Genomic DNA, 27,549 nt, shown 5'->3' on the forward strand with positions numbered 1-27,549 from the left:
TTAGAGTAGAGGTTTGTTTACTGACATGCTAGGAGAATGGGAGAAGGTAGATTAGATTGGTCAGAATAATATTGACTCTTGAATTTTCAGCTGGAAGGGAGAATTCAGTTCAACTTCCAATTTTAAGGTGCAAAATGAATATTCATTTTTTTGAGACTATCATAAAACAGCACAAAAATACATATTCAGACAATGCAAGTGGCTTATTAAAGTCAACACTAGAAAGAAGTAGCAAAGCTACATGTATACATTAGTCCTGCTCCTGCTCCTGTATAGTAATTTTCCCTCTTTTTTTGTATAGTATACTAATTTGCCCTCGTTTGCTTAGTCTGTCTTTTTTACCTGGAATGTCTTCCCTGTCAGTGCCCCTCTCCTTCTCCACATACCCCCACTTTTTTCTTTCTCTCTCTCTCCCTCTCACCCAGACACACACATATACACTCACATACCTTTGCCTCTAATTTCTACTCAGTTTTAAAACTCAGCTTTAATTTCCTTGCCTCAGAAGCTTTCCCTGAGTTCGCCTTTACAAACACAAATGTCTTTATTTATTTTGATGCTCAAATTGTCCTCAATTTGACCAGAGGAATCCTATTTAAGCTGACCTCTGTGTCCTTTTAACATGCCCCTGTCATTCTTTAAGTATTTCCTTACTTTCTGGCACAAAAAGACATTCCAGGCTCATTTTATACCTTCTCTGTCCTAGTTCTGGAATCAACCATTTTTCCAGGGAGTGCTGATTTCTAATGATATTTAGAAATCAACACCCAGTGCTAGGTGTAGTTACTGCTTATAAAGTGTTATGGCTCCCAGGCCCTCTAGAGAGCTAAGAAACATATGAATGTTATGTACATAGAGCTAAGAAACATGAATGTTACATACATAGGGGTGTGCTTGTGTCTACACATGTGTACATCCATGTTCATATTTATTTCCATATGTATTTATCTACATGTATATCGAAAACCATGATGAGGTCATGCTGATACCTCCAGTTACAGTCTATCACAACAGAAATAATTCTGTTTTTTCCCTTACCATATTTAACTCCGTTTTCCAAAAGTGAGAAAAACTTTATCTTTGTTGTATTTACTTATTTGATCAATCCTTCTGTATGTAATTATTTTCCAATCATCCATGTCCTTTTGTAAATGTCACCATCACTCCATTCAGCCTTGGAAACCTTGTGCCATGCGGAGCCTGTTCACTGCAATGTGGACACCTTCCTTCTTTTTCTTGGGTTCTGACTCCTCATATTGGACTTTCCCATTGTATAGCTTCCCTCTTCCTCTTGCTTTGGGCTCTCATGCCCTGTGCTAGGTTGTGCCTTTACATGATGCATGCCCTCTTCACCCTACTCAGGCTCTAATGTCCTGAGCCAGATCTCCCACCCATTTGGTACAGTACTTTTAACTAAACTACAGAGCTCATTTGAATTTTCCCTCTAATGCTCCTTTTCTGTTCCAGGATTCAATCCAGGATGCCACATTGCTTTTAGTTGTAATAGTTCTTTATTTGTTTTTTATCTTTCATGACCTTGACATTTTTTATGAGTATTGGTCAGTTATTTTGTAGAATGTCTCTCATTTTGGATTTATCTGATATGTTCTCATGATTCGATTGCAATTATGTATTTTTGGCAAGAATACCACAAACATGATGCTGTTGTTTCCTTGTCTCAGTGGATTGTATTCAGAGGTATAGGATGTCAATTAATCTTATTAACTGGTGATGTTAACCTTGATCACTTGATTAAGATAGTGTACCAGATTTTTCCATTGTAAAATTATTATTTATTCATTTGGGGGAGATACTTTATTCTCTTGTGGGAGATACTTTGAATCTATGCCAATTTCCTGTTTCTTCTCACTTTTGCCCATTGATTTTAGCCATTAGTGGATCTTGCCTGATGTAATTATTGCTGTGGTGTTGGTCTAATGGTGATTTTTAACTTTTGTCAGTCCTTCTACACTTATTCATTGTAATTTTTTTTTTTTGAGATGGAGTCTCCCTGTTGTCACCTGGACTGGAGTGCAATGGCACAATCTCGGCTCACTGCAACCTCTGCCTCCCCAGTTCCAGCAATTCTTCTGCCTCAGCCTCCCAAGTAGCTGAGATTACAGGCACCCACCACCACGCCTGACTAATTTTTGTATTTTTAGTAGAGACGAGGTTTCACCATATTGGCCAGGCTGGTCTCAAACTCCTGACCTCAGGTGATCCACCCGCCTCGGCCACCCAAAGTGATGGGATTACAGGCGTGAGCCACCGCGCCCGGCCCATTGTAATTCTTCTAAAGGAAGAGATGTCTCATCTCCCCTACTTATTTACTTATTCAATTATTTTATATTAATATTGGACTTGTGGATATTTATTATATTCTATGGGTTATAGTCCAGTACTCTGTGAATTTATTTACCTAAAATCATGAGTTCATACTGAAACCTCCGATTGTAGTTCAACATCACAAGGTTTATTCTAACCTTCTCCCTTTCTGTATTTCTAATTTTTTTCTGATAGTAAGAAACCTGGTTCTCATTATCTATAACATACTCACTTGTCTGTAGTTACAGAATTGCTAACATGTACTCCTATGAAAATCAAATTTACTAACTAGAGTATTGTATTTGTATATGGTTCTTTTTTTTTGGCCTATCCTTTCACTATATAGTCAAAATACTGGTTTTTTTTGTTTTTTTTTTATACTTTTAAGTTTTAGGGTACATGTGCACAACGTGCAGGTTTGTTACATATGTATACATGTGCCATGTTGGTGTACTGCACCCATTAACTCATCATTTAACATTAGGTATATATCCTAATGCTATCCCTCCCCGCTCTGCCCACCCCACAACAGGCCCCAGTGTGTGATGTTCCCCTTCCTGTGTCCATGTGTTCTCGTTGTTCAATTCCCACCTATGAGTGAGAACATGCGGTGTTTCGTTTTTTGTCCTTGCGATAGTTTGCTGAGAATGATGGTTTCCAGCTTGATCCATGTCCCTACAAAGGACATGAACTCATCATTTTTTATGGCTGCATAGTATTCCATGGTGTATATGTGCCACATTTTCTTAATCCAGTCTATCGTTGTTGGACATTTGGGTTGGTTCCAAGTCTTTGCTATTGTGAATAGTGCCACAGTAAACATACGTGTGCATGTGTCTTTATAGCAGCATGATTTATAATCCTTAGGGTATATACCCAGTAATGGGATTGCTGGGTCAAATGGTATTTCTAGTTCTAGATCCCTGAGGAATTGCCACACTGACTTCCACAATGGTTGAACTAGTTTACAGTCCCACCAACAGTGTAAAAGTGTTTCTATTTCTCCACATCCTCTCCAGCACCTGTTGTTTCCTGACTTTTTAATGATCGCCATTCTAACTGGTGTGAGATGGTATCTCATTGTGGTTTTGATTTGCATTTCTCTGATGGCCAGTGATGATGAGCATTTTTTCACGTGTCTGTTGGCTGCATAAATGTCTTCTTTTGAGAAGTGTCTGTTCATATCCTTTGCCCACTTGTTGATGGGGTTGTTTTTTTCTTGTAAATTTGTTTGAGTTCATTGTAGATTCTGGATATTAGCCCTTTGTCAGATGAGTAGATTGCAAAATTTTTCTCCCATTCTGTAGGTTGCCTGTTCAGTCTGATGGTAGTTTCTTTTGCTGTGCTGAAGCTCTTTAATTTAATTAGATCCCATTTGTCAATTTTGGCTTTTGTTGCCATTGCTTTTGGTGTTTTAGACATGAAGTCCTTGCCATGCCTATGTCCTGAATGGTATTGCCTAGGTTTTCTTCTGTGGTTTTTATGGTTTTAGGTCTAACATTTAAGTCTTTAATCCATCTTGAATTAATTTTTGTATAAGGTGTAAGGAAGGGATCCAGTTTCAGCTTTCTACATATGGCTAGCTAGTTTTCCCAGCACCATTTATTAAATAGGGAATGCTTTCCCCATTTCTTGTTTTTGTCAGCTTTGTCAAAGATCAGTTAGTTGTAGATGTGTGGCATTATTTCTGAGGGCTCTGTTCTGTTCCATTGGTCTATCTCTGTTTTGGTACCAGTACCATGCTGTTTTGGTTACTGTAGCCATGTAGTATAGTTTGAAGTCAGGTAGCTTGATGCCTCTAGGTTTGTTCTTTTTGCTTAGGATTGACTTGGCAATGTGGGCTCTTTTTTGGTTCCATATGAACTTTAAAGTAGTTTTTTCCAATTCTGTGAAGAAAGTCATTGGTAGCTTGATGGAGATGGCATTGAATCTATAAATTACCTTGGGCAGTGTGGCCATTTTCACGATATTGATTCTTCCTACCCATGAGCATGGAATGTTCTTCCATTTCTTTGTATCCTCTTTTATTTCATTGAGCAGTGGTTTGTAGTTCTCCTTGAAGAGGTCCTTCATGTCCCTTGTAAGTTGGATTCCTAGGTATTTTATTCTCTTTGAAGCAGTTGTGAATGGGAGTTCACACATGATTTGGCTCTTTGTTTGTCTGTTATTGGTGTATAAGAATGCTTGTGATTTTTGCACATTGATTTTGTATTCTGAGACTTTGCTGAAGTTGCTTATCAGCTTAAGGAGATTTTGGGCTGAGACAATGGGGTCTTCTAGATACACAATCATGTATCAAGTCAAGGGACAATTTGACTTCTTCTCTTCCTAATTGAAGACCTTTATTTCCTTCTCCTGCCTGATTGCCCTGGCCAGAACTTCCAACACTATGTTGAATAGGAGTGGTGAGAGAGGGCATCCCTGTCTTGTGCCAGTTTTCAAAGGGAATGCTTCCAGTTTTTGCCCATTCAGTATGATATTGGCTGTGGGTTTGTCATAGATCTTACTATTTTGAGATACTTCCCATCAACACCTAATTTATTGAGAGTTTTTAGCATGAAGGGTTGTTGAATTTTGTCAAAGGCCTTTTCTGCATCTATTGAGATAATCATGTGGTTTTTGTCGTTGGTTCTGTTTATATGCTGGATTACGTTTATTGATTTGCATATGTTGAACCAGCCTTGCATCCCAGGGATGAAGCCCACTTGATCATGGTAGATAAGCTTTCTGATGTGCTGCTGGATTCAGTTTGCCAGTATTTTATTGAGGATTTTTGCATGGATGTTCATCAGGGATATTGGTCTAAAATTCTCTCTTTTTGTTGTGTCTCTGCCAGGCTTTGGTATCAGGATGATGCTGGCCTCATAAAATGAGTTAGGGAGGATTCCCTCTTTTTCTATTGATTGGAATAGTTTCAGAAGGAATGGTACCAGCTCCTCCTTGTACCTCTGGTAGAATTCGGCTGTGAATCCATCTGGTCCTGGGCTTTTTTTGGTTGGTAAGCTATTAATTATTGCCTCAATTTCAGAGCCTGTTATTGGTCGGTCTATTCAGAGATTCAACTTCTTCCTGGTTTAGTCCTGGGAGGGTGTATGTGTCGAGGAATTTATCCATTTCTTCTAGATTTTCTAGTTTATTTGCGTAGAGGTGTTTATAGTATTCTCTGATGGTAGTTTGTATTTCTGTGGGATCGGTGGTGATTTTTCAAAGTTACTTCATGTTTTAGTTAGTTTGGGCTGCTATAACAAATTACCATAGATTACGTAGCTTAAACAGCAAACATTTATTTCCTCACAGTTCTGGAGGCTGGAAGTTTAGATCAGGATGCCAGCATGGTCAGGTTCTGGTGAAAGCTTTCTTCCAGGTTGCACAGTCAACTTCTTGTCCTTATATCCTCATGTGTTGGAAGGAGAGTGAGACAGCTCTGAGGTGCCTCGTCACATTAAAGAGGGTTCTACCTTCATGACCTAATTATCTCCCGCAGGTCTCACCTCCTAATACTATGACATTGAAGGTTAGGATTTCAACATAGGAATTTTGGGGCAACACAAACATTCACTCCATGGCACTGAGGTTCAATTATGTGAAATATTATGGTTCTGAGAGGCTGAATATATGCAAAAAGATATATTCAGAGTGTTGCTACCTCCTTAATTCTTACTAATTTGTTCCTATTCTTCCTGGCTTCCCATCCTTTCTCACCTGTGGCTTGTAAGGTAACCAATTTATTTAGTTTTCTTTAGAAGCTTTATATTTCTTTTGCACAAATAAGAAAATACTTGTATGTTTTCTGATATTCCTTTTTTCTTATAGTAAAGACACACTTCACTTTTTAAAAATCTTTTATTTGATGGTATGTCTGAAAATCACTCCAAATCACTAAAGAAATCTTCCTCATTCCTGTTTTTTTAAGAGATGGGGTCTCACTGTATTGTCCAGGTTGGTTTCGAACTCTTGGGCTCAAGTGAGCCTCCCATCTCCTGGGGCTGCAGGCGTGTGCTGCTGCAACTGGCTTTTATTCTTTTTGATACCTGCATAGTATTCCTTGATTTATTCAACCATTCTCCTCTGTATGAGTATTTAGGGTGTTTCATATATATATATATATATATATATTTTTTTTTTTTTTTTTTTTTTTTTTTTTTTGAGACGGAGTTTCGCTCTTGTTGCCCAGGCTGGAGTGCAATGGCGTGATCTCAGCTCACCACAACCTCTGCCTCCCTGGTTCAAGCGATTCTCCTGCCTCAGCCTCCCGAGAGTAGCTGGGATTACAGGCATATGCCACCACACCCAGCTAATTTTGTATTTTTAGTAGAGTTGGGGTTTCTCCATGTTGGTCAGGCTCATCTGGAACTCCCGACCTCAGGTGATCCGCTGGCCTCAGCCTCCCAAAGTGCTGGGATTACAGGCGTGAGCCACCACGCCTGGCCCCAATATTTTAAAGTTACAAAAAATGCTATAGTAAATAACCTTGTTCCATATATATTTTTGTATTGTTAGATGTTGATCGATTTTTTTTCACATATTCAACCAACTTTGTATTTCTAAAATAAACACAACTTGGACATGATCTATTAATTTTTTAAGGTCATGGTCATTCATTCATTTCACATTTTATTCTTAGTACATTCCACTGGGAGAGGAAAGAGTCATGCATCAGTATATAGATTGTGCTATTCTGTTGTACTGTTTTTATATAGGATTTTTGCATGTCTGTTTATTCTGTTAGATTTGCCTATAATTTTTCTCTAATAACAGTCTTGTCAGATTGGTGTCAAAGTTATGCTGGCCTTAAAAAAGAGTTGTGGAGTGTTCACTCTTTTTCCATTATCTGGAAGATTTTGTATTAGAGATTGGCATTATTCCTTAAGAATTCTCTGGTGAAGGCTTCTAGGCTTGGATTTTTCTTTATGAGATGATTTTCAATTATTTTAATATTAGAGTGTTTTTGACCTACCAAAAGGGTACTTTCCTGTGGCCCAACCTAATAGTTATAGCACTATCTAGGTTTTTAAAGTTGTTATTGTGGTAGTTTTGGTAAATTGTATTTCCTTAAATAATATTTTCCACTTAATTAAAATTTTCAGTTTTATAGTCAGGGAGTTATGAGTATGTGCATCAGTTGTGATGTCCTCTTTCTTATTCATGGCATTAATGATCTGTGCCATCATGTTTGTGTTGTCTTCGTCCCTTCCTCCTCCTGTCATTTTTGTTAGAGGTTGATCAATTTCATTAGTTATTTTTAGGTAACCAACTTAGGCTTTAGTGACCTATCTATTGAATGTTTGCCCTCTATCTCATTAATTTATGTTCTTTATCAATTCCTTTTCTACTCATTTTGAACTTCTTGTTGTTTTCAGCCTTTTTGCTTTTATATATATATGCATTTAATATATATATGAATTTATATATATATATATGCATTTAAGGCTACAAATTTCCCTTTATGCACTACTTTAACTGTATCCAATGAATCCATATATCATATTTTCATTTATTCAGTTCTACATGTTTTCTAATTTCTAGTGCAGATATTTTTTCCTGACCTATGGATTATTTAGAAGTATTTATTTTTAAAAATTCCAAAACATCTCAGTATTTTGTTTTATTTTTCTTTCTTTCATTCTCCTTTTGGCTGCATACAGGGGACTTTATTGATGGTACATGACAAGGTGGGGCCTTCCAGGCCCCTCCCTCTTCAGGGGGTCTGGCATGGAAACTGTGTCAAGAAGAGATTTTTGCATGTCTGTTTATTCTGTTAGATTTGAGTGCAGCAGGTATTCCCCAGCAGCTGAGGTCCTCTCTTGTCCTTTAGTTAGTGCTCTTGCTGGAGCTGGTGGTCCTGGGCACTTACTCCTTGGAGGCCATGTGGACCATGAGGTCCACCACCCTGTTGGTGTAGCCAGATTCATTTTCATTGTCATACCAGGAATTGAGCCTGACAAAGTGGTCATTGAGGGCAGTGGTGGCCCCATCATGGAAGGTGGAAGAGTGGTTCTCACTTAAAGTCGGAGGAGACACCCGGGTGTTCAGTATAGCTCAGGATGCCCTTTAGGGGGCCCTCTGGTGCCTGCTTCAATACCTTCTTAATGTCATCGTATTTGGCAGGGTTTTCTGGATGGCAGATCAGATCTGACATGTAGGTGGTGGGGACTTGGAAGACCATGCCAGTGATCTTCCCATTCAGTTTGGGGATGACCTTGCCTACAACCTTGGCAGCACCAGTAGATGCAGGGATGATGTTCTTGAGAGCCTCATGGTCGTCATGCCACAGTTTCCCAGAGGTACCATCTACCCACATCTTCTGGGTGGCAGTGATGGCATGGAGTGTGGTTATGAGTCCCTCCACAATGCCAGAGTTGTCATGGATGACCTTGGATGGGGGTGCAGTGATCAATTGGTGGTGCAGGAGGCATTACTGAGGATCTCGAGGCTATTTTCTTACTTCTCATGGTTCATGTCCATCACAAACATGGGGGTGTCAGCAGAAAGGACAGAGATGAAGACCCTTTTGGCTCTCCCCTCTAAGTGAGTCCCAGCCTTCTCCATGGTAGTGAAGTTGTTGATGGACCCAACAACATAGTCAGCACCAGTGTCACCCCCATTTGATTTTGGTGGGATCTCACTCCTGGAAGATGGTGATGGGATTTCCCTTGATGACAAGCTTCCCATTCTCAGCCTTGATGCTGCCATGGAACTTGCCATGGGTGGAGTCATACTGGAACATGTAGACCATGTAGTTGAGGTCAAAGAAGGGGTCACTGATGACAACAATACCTGCTTTGCCAGAGTTAAAAGAAGCCCTGGTGACCAGGTGCCTAATACAGCCAAATCCGTTTATTCCAGCCTTCATTTTCACCATGGTGTCTCAGGGACACGGCTGGTGGTGCATGAGAAGGGGCGGCTGTCTGTCAAATGAGAGGAGCAGAGAGCATCAAAAACCCTAGTATTTTCTAATTTATCCTTTTTTTTTCTTTTTCTTTTTTTTTTTTTTTTACTGGTTTCTAGCTTAAATTTCCACTATGGTTAGAGAATATATGATTTCAGTCCTTTGATATTTGTTGAGACTTGTTTTAGGGTCCAATATTTGGTCAGTTTTTAGAAATATTCTGTGTTCTGCTTAAAAAGAATATCTGTTTTACATTTGTTGTATTCAGCATTCTGTATATGTTCATTGAATCAAGTTTATTCATCAGACTGTTTAAATCTTCTATGTCCTTATTAATGTTTCATCTGCTTGCTTTATTGATTAATGCAAGTGATGTAACGTGTCACTTGTAAGCATCATATACTTTTACAAATCTTAAAGCCTTTGTATTTTAATTAGCACGTTTACTTCACTCACATTTAATTATTGATTTTTTAGGCTTAAACATTTGCCATCTTACTGTATGCTTTCTTTCAGTCTCGTATATTCGATTTCTTTTTTCTCCTTTCTTGTCAATTTTTGGATTATCTTTATTATTGGATTTTTTAATTTTAGAAGTTAAACACTTAAAAAGCTTTTCTTTTAGTGATTATTTTAGATATTATAACATGAATCCTTCAGTTATCAAAATCATTGATAATTTTATCTTCTTCCCAAACAATGTAAGAAACTTAAAACTTTTTATTCCATTTTCCCTTTTCCAATCTATATGCAGTTGTTTTGTATATACAATCTATATGCAGTTTAATTTTGCATATATTTATTTAAAATCCCATGAGAGCCTTTTGGTCCCAGCAGCAGCAGAGCTGAGCAAGCAGCTCCCTCCCTCCCTCCGCTGCCCGCTGGCCAGCAGGATGGAACAGGCCACACTCCTTTGTCAAGGACTTACTGGCCGGAGGCATTGCCCTCGCTATTTCCAAGAGGGCAGCGACCCGAGTTGAGCCAGTCAAGGCACTGCTGCAGGTGCAACATGCCAGTAAGCAGATTGTGGCGACACCGTACAAAGGCGTGGTGTGGTGGGCTGCAAGGTCCACATCCCCAAGGAGCAGGGCACTTGTCCTTCTGGAGGGGCACCTGGCCAGCACCATCCACTGCTTCCCCATGCAAGCCCTCAACTTTGCCTTTAGGGATAAGTACAAGCAGGTCCTTCTGGGAGGCGTGCATAAGCATGCACAGTTCTGGAGATATTTTGCAGGCAACCTGGCTTCCTGAGGGGCGGCTGGGGCCATCTCCCTGTGCTTCTTCTATCCCCTGGAATTTGCCAGAACCTGCCTGGCAGCCAACGTTGGGAAATTGGGCATATAGTGGGAGCTCAAAGGCCTGGCAGACTGCCTGGAGAAGATCAAGGCTGATGGGATCCGAGGCCTGTCCCAGGGCTTCAGCATCTCGGTGCAGGGCATCCATATGTACTGGGCAACCTACCTCAGCGTGTATGATACAGCCAAGGGCATGCTCCCTGACCCCAAGAACACCCACCACATGGTGAGCTGGATGATTGCCAGGCCATGACAGTGGCCCATGTGGCCTCCTACCTACTCCTCACAGTGCGGGCGGATGGTGATGCAGTCCAGGTGCAAAGGAGGTGATATTACGAACACGGGTGCCCTTGATTGTTGGCAGAAGCTCTCCTAAAATGAAGGGGCGAAGCCTCCTTCAAGGATGCATGGTCCAACATCCTCACAGGCATGGGGCCAAGTCTGGGCCTGTATTATGAGCTGAAGAAAGTCACCTAAGTGCATATGTCTCCTCCATAGAAATGGCAACCCAGAGAATCATGTAGAATACTTAACTATTGTAGATTATGGACCTTCAAGAAATTCTGGTCATCTTTGTCCTGGCCAGAGATCATGTCTGTAGAGGGCTGAGGTAGGCTCTAGAAAAGGGGTTCATTGTGATCACATTCCCCTTTGGCACCTGATTCCATGTATTGATTACTGGGGGTGGGAAAATCATGACGTCATTGTGAGCACACAGGCGAGGCAACTCCAGCTCAGACCTAGAGTCCAGATGCTTATAGGACCTGAGTTGTGTTTAAGTATTTATTTAAATAAAAGGAATTGTATTTCCCATTTGTACTTAAGCACTAGCTCTTCTTTTGCACAGTGAGTATTTGTAATTATGTTCTGTGTTAGGTGTGCTGCTGCAAAACAATAAAAACAGGACACTGAGAGCCAGAAAAAACCCCCATAAGATATTATTAAATATTATGATTGTATGTAGAGAATATTTAGTTTTAGCCACATACTTATAATTTCTGTTGCTCTTCATTCTGTGCAGCTCCTACCACCTTCCATCAGGCATTGTTTATGCCTAGAAAAGAATACTTTTTAGAATTTTATTTAATGAGCATCTGCCGATAGCAGATTCTGGTTTTGTCAGTCTGAAAATGAGTTTATTTCATCTTAATTCATAAAGGATATATTTCAGTGAATTCTAAATTGACAGTTACTCTCTTTTAGCCATTAAATGTCGTACTCTATTGTCTCCTGGTTCTCATTGTTTCTTTTGAGAGCCTACCTGAATTTAATTGTTGTTTCTTTGAAAGTAACCTGTCCTTTTTTCTCCCTGGCTGTTTTAAAGATATTTCCTATATCTTTGGTTTGCAGTATTTTTACTGAGATGTGCCCAACTTGTGGATTTCTTTGATTTATCTTGCTTGGGATTCCTAGGACTTCTGAATGTCTTTAATCAGTTTTGGAAAATTCTCAGCCGGACAGTGCTTCCGTGCCATGCTCTCTTTTGTCTTCTTCTGGGGTTCCAATCACATGTGTGTTACATTTTCTCATACGCTGTATTGCTTACCCTTACTTCTATATTTTCTTTTTTTTTTTTTCCCAAGGCAGAAGAATTTTTCTTAGAGCAGAACAAAATGAAAAGTCTCCCATGTCTACTTCTTTCCACACAGACACGGCAACCATCCGATTTCTCAATCTTTTCCCCACCTTTCCCCCCTTTCTATTCCACAAAGCCGCCATCGTCATCCTGGCCCGTTCTCAATGAGCTGCTGGGCACACCTCCCAGACGGGGTGGTGGCCGGGCAGAGGGGCTCCTCACTTCCCAGTAGGGGCGGCCGGGCAGAGGTGCCCCTCACCTCCCGGACGGGGCGGCTGGCCGGGCAGGGGGCTGACCCCCCCACCTCCCTCCCGGACTAGGCGGCTGGCCGGGCAGAGGGGCTCTTTACTTCCCAGTAGGGGCGGCCGGGTAGAGGCGCCCCTCACCTCCTGGACGGGGCGGCTGGCCGGGCGGGGGGCTGACCCCCCCACCTCCCTCCCGGACGGGGCGGCTGGCCGGGCGGGGGGCTGACCCCCCACCTCCCTCCCGGACGGGGTGGCTGCCGGGCGGAGATGCTCCTCACTTCCCAGATGGGGTGGCTGCCGGGCGGAGAGGCTCCTCACTTCTCAGACGGGGCAGCTGCTGGGCGGAGGGGCTCCTCACTTCTCAGACGGGGTGGTTGCCAGGCAGAGGGTCTCCTCACTTCTCAGACGGGGCGGCCGGGCAGAGATGCTCCTCACCTCCCAGACGGGGTCACGGCCGGGCAGAGGCGCTCCTCACATCCCAGATGGGGCGGCGGGGCAGAGGCGCTCCCCACATCTCAGATGATGGGCGGCGGGGCAGAGACGCTCCTCACTTCCTAGATGTGATGGTGGCCGGGAAGAGGCGCTCCTCACTTCCTAGATGGGATGGCGGCCGGGCAGAGATGCTCCTCACTTTCCAGACTAGGCAGCCAGGCAGAGGGGCTCCTCACATCCCAGACGATGGGCGGCCAGGCAGAGACACTCCTCACTTCCCAGACGGGGTGGTGGCCGGGCAGAGGCTGCAATCTCGGCACTTTGGGAGGCCAAGGCAGGCGGCTGGGAGGTGTAGGTTGTAGCGAGCCGAGATCACGCCACTGCACTCCAGCCTGGGCACCATTGAGCACTGAGTGAACGAGACTCCGTCTGCAATCCCGGCACCTCGGGAGGCCGAGGCTGGCGGATCACTCGCGGTTAGGGGCTGGAGACCGGCCCGGCCAACACAGCGAAACCCCGTCTCCACCAAAACCAGTCAGGCGTGGCGGCGCGCGCCTGCAATCGCAGGCACTCGGCAGGCTGAGGCAGGAGAATCAGGCAGGGAGGTTGCAGTGAGCCGAGATGGCAGCAGTACAGTCCAGCTTCGGCTCCACATGAGAGGGAGACCGTGGAAAGAGAGGGAGACCGTGGGGAGAGGGAGAGGGAGAGGGAGAGGGAGAGCTACTTCTATATTTTCTATCTCTTTGACTTACTGTCTTTTGTTCTCATGGGTTTCTTCTAACTGCTCCCAGTTCTGTAATTGTCTCTTTGGTTGTACTTAATCTGCTGTTGAACTCATCTATTAAATTCTTAATTTTGATTATTTGTCACTTTTGGAATTTATATTTGATTTGATTATTTTATAAATCTAAGTGGAAAAAAACCCTAAAAATAAAAAAGGAAAAAATTATGTCATTTATGCAATAATCTGGAGCTCCTGTTGATCTGTTTCTGTTGTCTTTTGGTTCTCATTTATGTGTGGTTTTGTCTCCAAAAGTGTCTCCATTTATGTGTACTTGGTTATCTTTGCTTATGTGCTAGACATTGTATTTTAAAAATTGTTTATGTAAATTTAATTTAGCAGCTAAGATGATGTTATCTTCCTACAGAAAAGATTTTCATTTGCTTTTGCTAGTAGATGCCTGGCGTCACTAAAAATCTGTGATCATTTAAATCAATTTCAGGCATCAAGATTTTTCTGGGCCACCCATATGACCAAGCAATTGTTTTAATTCTAGTTTATCACTACTCCCACAGAGAAGTTGTTTGGGGTCCCAACTAGAACATGGACTGTTTACCAGAGCTCCCATTGTTGGTGGGCCCTGGCTTCCAACTTCTGGCCTGAAAAGGCTTGTGTGGTTGGTTTTTTTTGTTTTTTTATTTTATTTTATTTTATTTATTTATTTTGAGACAGAGTCGCCCTCTGTTGCCCAGGCTGGAGTGCAGTGGCACGATCTTGGCTCGCTGCAACCTCCGCCTCCCGGGTTCAAGTGATTCTCCTGCCTCAGCCTCCTGAGTTACTGGGATTACAGGGACCCGCCACCATGCCTGGCTAATTTTTGTATTTTTAGTAGAGATGGGGTTTTACCATGTTGGCCAGGCTGGTCTTGAACTCTTGACCTCAGGTGATCCGCCCGCCTCAGCCTCCCAAAATGCCGGGATTACAGTCATGAGCCACTGCACCCAGCCAGTTTTTTTTTGTTCTTAAATTAAAGAAGTTTTAGGTTCACAGCAAAATTGAACAGAAAGTAGAGTTCTCATATACCAGCTTCCGCCACACACTGACAAGCTTTTAAGTGCATTGTCCGGTCTGCAATTCCTCTCCTGGAATTTGCAATGCCTCCATGAGAAGTGTCCCTAAATACAAGGTTTATCTTCTAAATTTTTTGTCTTCTCCCAGATCTTGGCTTGGTAATTCTTTATTACCTTGTTGGTTTGTGATGCCTTCAACCAGTTGTTTTTTAAAAATCAGTCTAGCTTTTCTAGTTGTTCTCAGTGGGAAGGTTGGTCTGAACTATGTAGCCTGCTATTATTGAACACAATTATTCCCTTTCTTATAAATTGTTGCAAGTAGATTGCATATCTGTAAAAAATATTAATAGATCAAGCTGAACCTATTAAGGAAATGGTACAACTAAAAACCTTTTCTGTTAGCCATCATAGTTTTAAAATGATATTTTCAAATATGGAGATATATTATAGAATTAAACTTTTAATTTTAATGTATAATCTTTTATTCCAGCCCGTGATGCTGATGAGCGAGAGAAGTGGATCCATGCCTTAGAAGAAACAATTCTTCGACATACTCTCCAGCTTCAAGTAAGGGTCTTTACATGGTTTCCAGATAGTTCATTAGTTGTTGCTTTCTTTTTTTGTCTGTTTTCTGTTTTTTTTTTTTAAATAACTGTGGTATGATGTAATAGGAACTTATAATTTCTGAGTTGCTTATTTTTCCTTTACAGTTATAGTAAAGTTATACTCATTTATTTTCTCCTGCTTTCTGCAGAGTAAAATACTGATTTTTGTCTAGAAACAAGACAGTGCAAGACAATGTTGAAAGTGAAATTCTATGTTAAAATATGCCAGATTTATTTTAAGAATTTAATATCTGTAGTCAGTTATCAATACAACCAAATTACATAATTATGCATGATAATAGGTAAATACTGAGAAGTTCACCTCATTTTCTTGTTAAAGGATTTGGCTATTACCGTATGTGTCAGTTAGTACTCTTTTGTATGGTAGTGAAAGAAAACTCAACCCAAACTGATTCATGAAGAAGAAAGTAAATCTGGTTAGATGTGGTTTGAATTAGGTAATTCATGTCATGAGGACTCAGATCTCCCATCTCTATTTCTACGTTCCACTTTTGCATTGGCTTCATTTTCGGTTAGGTTCTCCCTTGGTGGTGGTAAGGTGGTTGTAGCAATGTCAGCCTCCCATTTTTGGAACCGAGTCCATAGGAGGCTATTCTTTCTAGACCTTAATAGGAGTAACACAATTATTGCTCATCACCCTAGCTTTGGCCATGTGTCAAATCCTGACCAGTCACAATTTCACAGTCATAGATTCTACCCTGGAGCTGGGATGTTACTGGCCTCACTAGAAACACATTGCTGATAGGGTAGAAGGTGTGTTCATCCTACCCAACCCGACCCGCACCAAAGTCAGAATAGGGAAAAACAGATGTTGGGTGACATGCAACTAACGTCTGCCGTACTACACTGAAGATATTTTTCTATGTTTATTCTCCAGTGAAAGAGCTTATATTTGTGGTACATAGGGGATTTTGTTTTAATTTAGAAAATTTAATTGTAGAAAACATGTTTTATAACCCTTTCTCTGTACTTTGTTCTATATCAGGAATTGACTTGATTAGATAAGGTGACATAGGGTATCTTAGGCCCTACAAGATAGTAAACCCCCCATCACTTGAAAGTATTCAGTAGAGGCTTAAAAAACATTATTAAAGGATGTGGTTATTAGGGGACTTTAAGAAATGAATATGAAATTGAAGTAGGAAATCTTTAAGCTACTCTGTGAGTTATGCCTTTTAAAAGCAATTTGTAATTCCTGTAGATTTCTTTTAAATTTAGGCAGTTTCATAAATGACTATAGCATCATTTTAGCAAATTTGTGATCCTGTAAGAGGAGGATAAGTGTTTTTTGTTTGTTTGTTTGTTTTTTGTTTTTTTGAGACAGAGTCTCACTTTGTACCCCAGAAAGTAAATCTAGTTAGATGTGGTTTGTCTCGGCTCACTGCAACCTCCACCCCGTGCGTTCTAGCAATTCTCCTGCCTCAGCCACCACACCTGGCCTAAGAGGGGAGGATAAGTGTTTTAGTGATCATATTAGACTGAATGTGGCAGATGAGATTTCCCGCCCCCCCATTGTTGGTTAGACTGACATTCAACATTCAACAAGAGCCACCTGCCCTTGTAGGCATTTCTGCCACTATACCCCTACATAAACCTAGAGTGCTATTGCTTACTTGCTTTCCTTCAAATACATTTTTTCATTTGTGGCCTCCACATTCTTGTGTGTGATGTCCTTTCTCTGTGAAATGTCTTCTACCCTTTTTTTCAAAGCCTAGTTTAGAACTGACCTCTTCTATGAACCCTCTGCCGACTGGCCTTTCCTTCCCCAGTCCCCCAAGTTCAAAATGATCTCTTTCCTTTGAATACTATAGTATTTGCACAATTCACTATCTCCTTATCATATTCTTCTTGTTTATTTGTTATCAGCTGATGTTGACATCATAAGTTCAGGTTCCTAACTAGATCCAATATTGGAATTTTTCAGCTTTTGCTAAGAAGAGAGCTTGTATGTCTTTGGGAATAATGGGCAGAAAAAGATAACTTTGAGAAGTCTTAGACTTCTAATAGCTTTGATATTTAAAAGTACATGTAATACAAGAGGTTTTTTTCCTACATTTAATGCATGGAGAAGATAGGACATTTAGAAATATGGAATTAATGTTCATTTGACTGGCAAAAGATTATTTTCTCAGATGTAGTGAAGTGTGGTAAAGAACTTCACTCTAGAGCCAGAATGTCTGTGTTTGTATCCCAGAGCCCACCACTTACATTTAACCATTAACATTCAACTTACTGTCTCTGAGTTTCAGTGGCCTCATCTATAAAATGAGGATAATAAGAGTACCTACTTCATAGAGTTGTTTTAGTGGTTAAATAAACTAACGTAAACTTGCTAGAACTTGATAAACTAATATTGGATGAGAACTGGTTGAAATAATGCCTGGCTATAGTAAAAACTTGGTAAATGTTAGTTGCCATTACAATGCAACTACTGTTCCTACCATTCCCTCTGCCAGTGCCTGGTATTCAGTAGCACTCAGTAAATGTTAGTTAAATGAAGAAATAACTGAAGGAATGAATGAACAAATGGTTGATGTAGAGATTGCTTTTCCATTGTTGTTTATTGAATATTTTGAGATGTATAACATACTGTCTGTTAGGCACTGTGGGATGGGCACTCACGGAGCTGTCTTCCAAAGGGGTATAGGAGAGGAGACGCAGTGATCTCAGCAACCTACCTTTAAAACATATCCTAGTATCTACTGCCATGTTAGGTTCTCTTCTTTTGCTTTTTTTAAAAAAAAATTCTCACAAAACTCCCCCCACCCACTTCAGTTTATAGATGAGGAAGCTCCTACTACATAATAGTGCTTCCCAGTCTAATTCTTGACCTCATTGTATTTATATGTCCTTTTTTTTTTTGACAGAGTCTCACTCATTGCAGTGGCACAATCACAGCTCACTGCAACCTCTGCCTCCCCTGCTCAAGTGATCCTCCCACCTCAACCTCCTGAGTAGCTGGGACTACAGGCATGCACCACCACGCCTGGCTAATTTTTGTATTTTTTTGTAGAGATGCGGTTTTGCCATGTTGGCCAGGCTGGTCTCGAACTCCTGGGCTCAAGCCATCTGCCCACTTTGGCCTCTGAGAGTGCTGAGATTATAGGCATGAGCCACCATTCCCAGCCATGTTTTCCTTTTTCATTGAACTTTATCTACTTTAGCCATTAAACTCCACTCCATTGGTCTTGTCATTACTAAGAGCTGAACCACCTGCAAAATATTAAGTTAAAAAGCGTTTTCTTTGACAACAGTTTTCTTTTCTTCATCTTCCTCTATCACTTTACTTCTGAACTTTTATTCTCTCATTTTGATCTGACCCCTACTTCTCTGTTTTTCCTGGCCATTTAGTACTTTCTTGTTTTGCTCATCCCATTTCCCAGTGGAGACCTTCTGGTCTGCTGCTTTATCACTGGTTTTGTTAGAAGACATACAAATGGCAAGGAGGTATATGAAAAGGTGCCTAACATCATTGATCATCAGAGAAATGCAGACCAAAACTACAATGAGATATCATTTCACCCCAGTTAAAATGGCTTTTTTTTTTTTTTTCCAAAAGACAGGCAATAACAAAGTACTGGTGAGGATGTGGAGTAAAGGGAACCCACATACACTATTAGTAGGAATGTAAATTAGTACAGCCACTGTGGAGAACAGTTTGAAGGTTCCTCAAAAAACTAAAAATAGAGCTACCATATAATCCAGCAATCCCACTGCTAGGTATATATCCAAAAGAAAGGCAATCAATATACGGAAGAGATACCTGCACACCCAGGTTTATTGCAGCACTATTCACAATAGCCAAGATTTGGAAGCAACCCAGGTGTCCAACAGATGAATGGATAAAGAAAACATGGTATATAAACACAATGGAATACTATTCAGCTGTGAAAAAGAATGAAATCCTGTCATTTGCAATCCTGTCTTGAATAGAACTGGAGGTCATGATGTTAAGTGAAATAAGACAGGCACAAACTTCACATGTTCTCACTTATTTGTGGGAGCTAAAAATTAAAACAATCGAACTCATGGAGCTAGAGAATAGAATTATGGTTACCAGAGGCTGGAAGGGTGGTTGGGCGTATAAGTGTAGGGGGAGTGGGGATGGTTAATGGGTACAAAAAAATGAGAACGAATAAGATCTACTTGATAACACAACAGGGTGACTATAGTCAACAGTAATTATACATTTAAAAATAACTAGAAGAGTATAATTAGATTGTAACACAAAAGATAAATGCTTGAGGTGATGGATACCTATTTACCCTGATGTGATTATTACTTATTTCATGCCTATATCAAAATATTTATACTCCAAAAATATATATACCTACTATGTACCCACAAAAATTTAAAAATTTATATATTGTTTTTGCTATCACCTTTAGAATTTCTTGTCATTGGATAGTTCGTCTGTATACCATTCTGGTCTTCATTCCCCAGGGCCCCCGTTGTCTGATTTTTCTGCTTCTAGAACTGTTAGAGGTCACAAAAGCAAGATGGTTGTATCTATCACAATTTTTGTCTGACTTTAACTGGGTATCTGTTACGATTTAGTAGTCATCTTACTGACTTCTTGTTGGTTTCCAATTGAATCCTCACAGTAGACTGTTTTCATTGTAATCAGTATCGAATTATAGCCTGTTCCCTTCTTCATAAATGAAGGCTTTCTTCTTCAACAGTTCTTAGTGACTTCACCTGTACTTTATTTCTCTGCTTTGAATATTTCGAAGAAAACATATTCTTGCTCTTTCCCAAGGTTAACACTACATACATTACCTTGACCACAGGATGTTTTCTTGCAGATTGTGACCTAATTCCATCACCCTTCAGCAGCCCCCACCGTTTTCATGGATTCAGCTAAACCTTCTGTAAGATGACTCTTTTTCCCCCTAATCTTTATATCTCTTTTGATATGTAGCTTTAGTCTCACTTTTTTTCCTTTTGGATTTTGCCAGTTAGATGTCTCCCTGGAATTCCACTTCAGCATGGCTAAGACTAAGCTTGTCTTCTCTTTCCTCCCCAAAGCAAATTGTAATTAGGATAGACTGAAGGTGACAGAAGATAACTAAGATCTTCTTCATCCTTTCGGCTCTTATGGAAGCTGAATTCCAGTAGTCATTCTAAATTTGTTGTATGTCAGCTTATGGTATCTTTTCATGTCTTTACATTCAGCCAAAGAGGAAGTTCCTTGAAGGGGAGACCAGAGGGCGTGCTGTGCTTCTTAATCCTCTCTTTCTTAACCAGTAAGAGGCATTCAGTAGATATCTGATGATACTGATTAATAGAGGGGAACTTTTCAGATTCTTTTTTTTTTTTAACCCTAGTAAGCTTTAGTACAAACTAAATGCTGAGAGATTATCAAGTAAGGGATTGATCATCACAAGAAGACTCAGGATGTTACATCCTGTAGGTTTTATAGTTTCCTATATTGTAAAAAATATGAGTTATAGCAGCTTGTCTGGATGTCATACAGGTATAAAAATCAGTTTTATAAACTTGAGTAAATTGGGGCCCATTTTAGAAAAAACTCTTGCAGGCTGTGAATGCCAATATATAAGTAAAGTATTAAGTATAATGTTATTTAATGTGGGCAAACATAAAGCCAGGTGTAAATTTTTTAGGTTTAAAATCTTATAGAACTATACATCCAAAAGAAAATTTCAAGTTAAACATAATACAAAGCAATACAATCTAAATTAACATTAATTTAATGTGATGAATGATATTGCCTTGCTAAAAGTGGGTCACTACTTACAATGTGCAAATGGTACTCATCGTTAGGGTATAGATTCTTTTAAACTATGACATACGTACACTACCATGTGGAACGTGATGATGTGTTCTCTGTTCTAACTACTGGGAAGACTTCCTTGGCATAGCACATGCCATGGGGTCAGTTGGCTTTGACTTCATATAGATATGCCATTTACTTGGTCAGTGTCACTTCTATGACAAGTAGTATGTTGTGCCAGTTTGATTATAAGTACAAATATGGGCAATGAAGTAACTTGGTTTTAAGGTTGTTACTAAGCTGAGTAACAGTGTGTGGCTATACAAATTTTTATAGGCTATCAGGAATGAAAACACAGGAGATTGTTGTAGATTCAAGTATTTTAGATTCAAGTTTGAAGATGCTCATGCAGATGTTTAACTGAGTTGTATAGACCTTTATGTTTCTTTCTTTTTCTCTTTTTTTTTTTTTGAGACAGAGTCTTGCTCTGTCACCCAAGCTGGAGTGCAATGGTGTGATCTCGGCTTACTGCAACCTCCGCCTCCCAGGTTCAAGCAATTCTCCTGCCTCAGCCTCCCAAGTAGCTGGGATTACAGATGTGCACCACGACGCCCAGCTGATTTTTTGTATTTTAGTAGAGGCGGGGTCTCACCATGTTGTCAAGATGGTCTCAATCTCCTGACCTTGTGATCCACCCACCTCTGCCTCCCAAAGTGCTGTGATTACAGGCGTGAGCCACCGCGCCTGACTGACCTTTATGTTTCTTAACTTTATGCTATACATCAGTTGATATTTCAAAAATTTAAATGGTTTCTATGATTATTCTTTGGGCTAAGAAATTGGGCATTAATTGTCCTCATATGTATGGTTTTTGTGGCTACTTCATGTAGATTTTATTTTTGGTGGTTATCAAATTGGAATTTTTTTTTTTTTTTTTTTTTTTGAGACGGAGTCTCATTCTGTTTCCCAGGTTGGAGTACAGTGGTGCAATCTCAGCTCACTGCAGCCTCGACCTCCCAGGCTCAAGCAGTCCTCTCACCTCAGCCTTCTAAGTAGCTGGGACTACAGGCACGCACCACCACACCTGGCTAGTTTTTTGTGTTTTTAGTAGAGATGGGGTTTTACCCTGTTGGCCAGGCTGGTCTTGAACTCCTGGCCTCAAGTGATCCACCTGCCTCAGCCTCCCAAAGTGCTGGGATTAGAGGCATGAGCCACCACACCTGGCTGAAATTGGAATTTCATTGGTACTGCCTGTAATTTTATGTTAATTTTTTTTTTTTTTTGTCGTCACTAGCTTTTATCTAAAGCCCCTAGAGAGAAAGGCCATGATACCTTGTATACAAGGTTATAAGAGTATACAAGGGAAAGGGAGGGCTGAAGGGAACAGGGTGGGCTGGTACAAGCCTCATTAGAAATACCATTGAGTCTGTGAGTAAAACATCATTATATGAAAAGGAGATGTGGTTTTAGGGTGGTCCAATTACTTTTGCACCAGCCTAATAAAATTACAAGTCATTATCAATAGAGACATTGTAAAACCTTTTTTTTTCCCAAAAGAAGTATCAGGTATGATAATTACATGTCTGCCCAACTTTCGTTATAGATTAACATAACTTAATTGTATTTAAGGTACAATTTAGGAGAGTTGCTGAAAAATGAATCTTTAGTATTGGGATGCCTTGATTCTACCCTCAATAGCTATAATGGATTATGTGTCTGAGTAGATTAATAAAAATCTTTTGAGCATTTTTCTTGAACTACTTCACTGAAGATTAGCTTTTTGAGCATCCATTTTAATTTCTCAGTATATAAGGATCGGTTTATCACAACTGTATTGTTTTCCCTGGCCTTGTTAGATTATATTTTCATATCATGTAGAAAAATAGGTGTATTCGTTCTCCCTTGAAGTCCTTTGTCTCCCAAAGGAAATGGTTGCAATACAGATGTGTCACCTCTTCCACAGGTAAAGTGGAATGGAGAAGTAGCCAGTTAAATAGTGCATGCTCAATTTGGAACATTTAGAGCATACAGGAAAGTTATTTATTTGGTAAATATTTTTTAAGCATTTACTATGTTTCATGCATTGTACTAGTTGTAGAGGATATAATTGAATACAACTACATGTAGCCCTTGACTTTATGGAACTAGTCTAGTATAAAGATTTAAGATTGCCTGGCATGGTGGCTCACGCCACTAATCCCAGCACTTTGAGAGGCCAAGGCAGGATTGCTTGAGGCCAGAAGTTTAAGAGTAGCTTGGTCAACATAATGAGACTCCATCTCTAAAATAAATAGATAGATAGATAGATAGATAGATAGATAGATAGATAGATAGAAGTAGTTAGACAACACAAAGCAGTTTCACTCATCTTGTGGCAAGGAGTTATGTATTTCTAATCAAATTTGGCAACTCAAGCATTTTCAACAAAATCTACATGTTTTTTCAGAATAAAGTGACCAACACAGAATGTTACCTGTAAAAATCAGAGCAATAATTGCTATCTAAAATAATTTTGAAAATTAAGTGGTACTGAAAGGCTCATATAGCAAAAATATGGCCTCCTGTCATTGTACTTTCCTACTTCCCAGACTCACCATTTTCAACATTTTTTAGTAGTTTATTTTGCCATTTTATAGCATAGTACCTGACATTTTATTTATTCAACAGACATTTCTTAAGTACCTAATACATGCCATTCCTTGTTTGAAGGGATGCTAAGGATACAGTGGTGAACAAGGCGTTGTGGGGTTGTATAGAGGGTATTCATTCCTAACCTTGAACCAAATATTTCTTTCTGTTGGATAATGCATTAAAAATTGCAAACAGTTTACAAACTTTTGGAGCAATGGTGGCCTTGATCATAAAGTAGGGACTGCTTCTACCGTATACATGCTTGGTGGTGTATTTGTGATATCTGGCTAAAGTTTCTACATGGAAATTGACTGACTTTAGTTTTGAGACTTCTGGGAACCAGTCAGGCAAAATAGTGAAACTGTGTATCCTGTTTCCAAGAGTTGTCTTTTAAGGTTATCTGCTTCATTCATTTGGCCTGACTTGCTAGGCAAATGCCTAGGGTAAATATGATTTGATTAACTATAACAACAACAGCAACAACAACAACTTTATTTTTTAGAGCAGTTTGAGGTTCACAGCAAAATTGAGCAGAATGTACAGAGATTTTCCCTATACCCGCTTCCCCTACGCATGTGCGGCCTCCCCTACTATCAACATCCCCCACCAGAGTGGTTTGTTACAATTAATGAACCTACATTGACACATCATTATCACTCAAGGTCCGTAGTTTACATTAGAGTCCACTCTTGGTGTTGTGTATGGGTTTGGTCGATTTTATAATGACATTTATCCACCATTATAGTGTCATACATAGTAATTTTGCTACCCTAAAAATCCAGTGTGCTCCACCTGTTCCTCCTTCCCTCCTCCCTCATCCCTGGCAACCACTGAACTTTTTAACATCTCCATAGTTTTGCCTTTTCCAGAATGTCATATCATTGGAATCACACAGTATGCAGCCTTTTCAAATGGGCTTCTTTCCGTTAGTAATAGGCATTTAAGTTTCATCCTCATCTTTTCATGGCTTGATAGCTCATTTCTTTCCCTCCCTCTTTTCTTCCCTGTCTTCCTTCCTTCCTCTTCTTTCCTGTTTCCTCTTTCTTCTTCCTTTTTTAAGAGACAAGGTGTCTCACTCTGTTGCCCAGGCTGGAGTGCAGTGGCCCAATCATAGCTCATTGCAGCCTTGAATTCCTGGGCTCAAGTGATCCTCCTGCGTTAGCCTCCTGAGTAGCTGGGATCACAGGCTCCAGTCATTTTAGTGCTGAATAATATTTCATTATCTGGATGTACCGCCTATTCATTCACCTACTGAAGAATATCTTGGTTGCTTCTAAGTTTTGGCAATTATGAGTGAAGTTACTATAAACATTGTATACAAGTTTTATGTGGATGTATGTTGTCATCTCCCTTGGGCAGATACCAAGGAGTGCCATTGTTGGATCATATGGTAAATATATCTTTAGTTTTGTACAGAATTCTAGGTTGGTATTTTTTTCTCTCTCAGTCCTTTATTTTATTTGGAGACAGTCTCGCTATGTCGCCCAGGCTGCCATACAGTGGTGCCATCTGGGCTCACTGAAACCTCCACCTCCCAGGTTCAAGCGATTCTTGTGCCTTGGCCTCCCAAGTAGCTGGGATTACAGGAGTGCGCCACCACGCCTGCTAATTTTTGTATTTTTAGTAGAGACAGGGTTTTGCCATGTTGCCCAGGCTGGTCTCAAACTCCTGACCTTAAGTGATTCACCCACCTCAATCTCCCAAAATCCTGGGATTACAGGCCTGAGCTACTGTGCCTGATCTCTCTCAGTACTTTAAAGAAATATTTCATTCCACTTTTCTTTTTTTTCTTCTTTTTGAGATGGAGTCTCACTCTGTCGCCTGGGCTGGAGTGCAGTGGCGCGATCTCAGCTCACTGCCACCTCCGCCTCCTGGGTTCAAGTGATTCTCCTGCCTCAGCCTCCTGAATAGCTGAGATTACAGGCGCCCACCACCATGCCCAGCTAATTTTTTGCATTTTTAGTAGAGACGGGGGTTCCACCATGTTGGCCAGGCTGGTCTCGAACTCCTGACCTCGTGATTCGCACATCTCGGCCTCCCAAATTGCTGGGATTACAGGTGTGAGCTACCACGCCTGGCCCACTCTTCTTGCTTACATAGTTTCTGAGGAGATGTCAGATGTAATTTTTATTTTTGCTCTTCTGTAGGCAAGTTGAGTTTTTTCCCCCTCTAGCTTCTCTCAGGATTTTTTTCTTTATCTTTGATTTTCAGTAGTTTGAAAATTATATGCCTAGCTGTCAGGGTTTTTTGCTTGTTTGTTTTTGTTTTCTCAGGTGTGACTCCAGAAAGGTTCTAAAGAGGAGCTTTACAATCTCTTCTCTGGGGTTTATGGAGACTTCCTTTACCCTTCTGTGTTAGCCCCTTAAAGCACTGCGTCAACCTTAAAAGGGCACAGGAAAGGGTGTCTATGCCATTTTTATGCCATTTATCCTGCTTGGTGTTTTCTGAGCTTTCTTCATCTGCGGTTTAATGTCTCACATTAATTTGTAGAAATTCTCTGTCATTGTTTCAAATTTTTCTTCAGTTCTTTTCTCTGTTTCTTCTTCTGGTGTTCCCATTATGCTTTTGTGGTTGTCGTACAGTTATTGGATATTTTGTTCCAGGCTTTTTTTTTTCCAGTCTTTTTTTCCTTTTGCTTCTCGGTTTTGTAGGTGTCTGTTGAGATACTCTCAAGTGCAGATATTCTTTCCTCAGCTTTGTCTAGTTTACTAATAAGCCCATTAAAGGCAGTCTTCATTTCTGTTACAGTCTTTTTGATCAGTAGCATTTCTTTTTTATTCTTTCTTAAAATTTCTGTCTTTCTGCTTACATTGCCCATCTGTTCTTGCATGGTTTCTACTTTGTCCATTAGAGTTCTTAGGATATTTATCATAATTATTTCAAATTTCTGGTGTAACAATTCCAACATCCCTGCAACATCCAAGTCTAGTTTCGATGCTTACTGTGTCTCTTCCAGCTGTGTTTTTTCCTATTTAATATGTCTTATAATTTTTTCTTGATAGCCATACATGATGCATTAGGTAACAGAAACTGCTGTGAGTGGACCTTTAGTAATGTGGTGGTAAGGTGTGCATGGAGGGGAAACATTTTCAGTCTGTTAGTGAACTTTTGTCAACTTCACATGTGCTTCTCAAGTCCATCCTGTAAGTGGGAGAGTAGGGCTAGAGAGGACTGAAGTTGGGTATATATTAAATACTTTCTCCTACAAAGAAGCCTAGAGGGGACGCATTAGGGGATTTTTTTTCCCCCAGTATTCACTGTGATGACCCTTATTGAGCTCCTGGAGGTAAAACTCACAAAACTGTGGTTCTCCCCCCTGCCCATATTACTACATGTCCCTGGAGTTTATATCTTTCAGACTTGTCTGCACTGAGCTTCCACCAATTTGTCAAATACAGATCAGGTTTCCCTACCACCCGTGCAGTTGAAAACCCACATACAACTTTTGACTCCTCCAGAGCTTAACTACTCATAGCCTGCTATTGACTGGAAGCCTTGCCAATAACATAAACAGTTGATTAATACATATTTTATATGTTTTCTGTATTATATATTGTATTCTTACAATAAAGAGAAAAGAAGATGTTATTAAGAAAATCATAAGGAAGATAAAATATATTTACTGTTCATTAAGTGGTTCCCATGGGTGCTGGTTCCCATGGAGGTTGCCCCTTGTGAGTTTTTGCTCAGGGAAGTTGTGATTCTCTATATTTGCCTGTTGGTCTCCTAATTTGGGAGTCATCAGTTTTCCCTGTGACCTCACTTCTCTTACAGAGTTAAGAACAGTTGTTGGTTTTTCAGTTTGTTCAGTGTTTTACATGTTGTTAGAACACAGTGGTACTTCTAAGTTTCTTAACATGCTAGATCAGAAACCTGAAGTCTCACCTAATTTGGCTTTTTATATTTTTTCTTCTTTTTTTTCTTCCATTGCTACCAAAGCATTTTTCATCTGTGTCTGGGGTGACATTAGAGCAGAATGTGATTTCTAGGTAAACATTATTGGGC

At 40.2% G+C, this 27,549-nt stretch overlaps 1 protein-coding gene, 1 non-coding gene and 2 pseudogenes across 12 annotated transcripts in view; 2 read left to right on the top strand and 2 right to left on the bottom strand.

Moving 5' to 3' along the window:
* The window catches only part of OSBPL9 (oxysterol binding protein like 9), a 270,948-nt gene that overhangs the window by 180,688 nt on the left and 62,711 nt on the right, over nucleotides 1–27,549 (top strand). For all 11 annotated transcript variants that reach the window (NR_036662.2, NM_001416294.1, NM_001416293.1 and 8 more), the window contains one exon: nucleotides 15,044–15,120. Coding sequence is in view for 8 of the 11 variants with exons in the window: in NM_001416294.1 (NP_001403223.1) it covers nucleotides 15,044–15,120 (77 nt within the window). In the remaining 3 variants the exon portion in view is untranslated. The remainder of the gene's footprint in view (nucleotides 1–15,043; nucleotides 15,121–27,549) is intronic.
* On the bottom strand, nucleotides 8,179–9,187 carry GAPDHP51 (glyceraldehyde 3 phosphate dehydrogenase pseudogene 51; annotated as a pseudogene).
* SLC25A6P3 (solute carrier family 25 member 6 pseudogene 3) lies at nucleotides 10,124–10,980 on the top strand (annotated as a pseudogene).
* Nucleotides 25,816–25,937, bottom strand: LOC124900447 (small nucleolar RNA SNORA26). The gene has a single exon (XR_007067401.1). It is a non-coding gene; the product is annotated as a small nucleolar RNA SNORA26 (small nucleolar RNA).

Source organism: Homo sapiens, chromosome 1, assembly GCF_000001405.40.
Source record: "Homo sapiens chromosome 1, GRCh38.p14 Primary Assembly".
NCBI classification, from domain to species: Eukaryota; Metazoa; Chordata; class Mammalia; order Primates; family Hominidae; genus Homo; species Homo sapiens.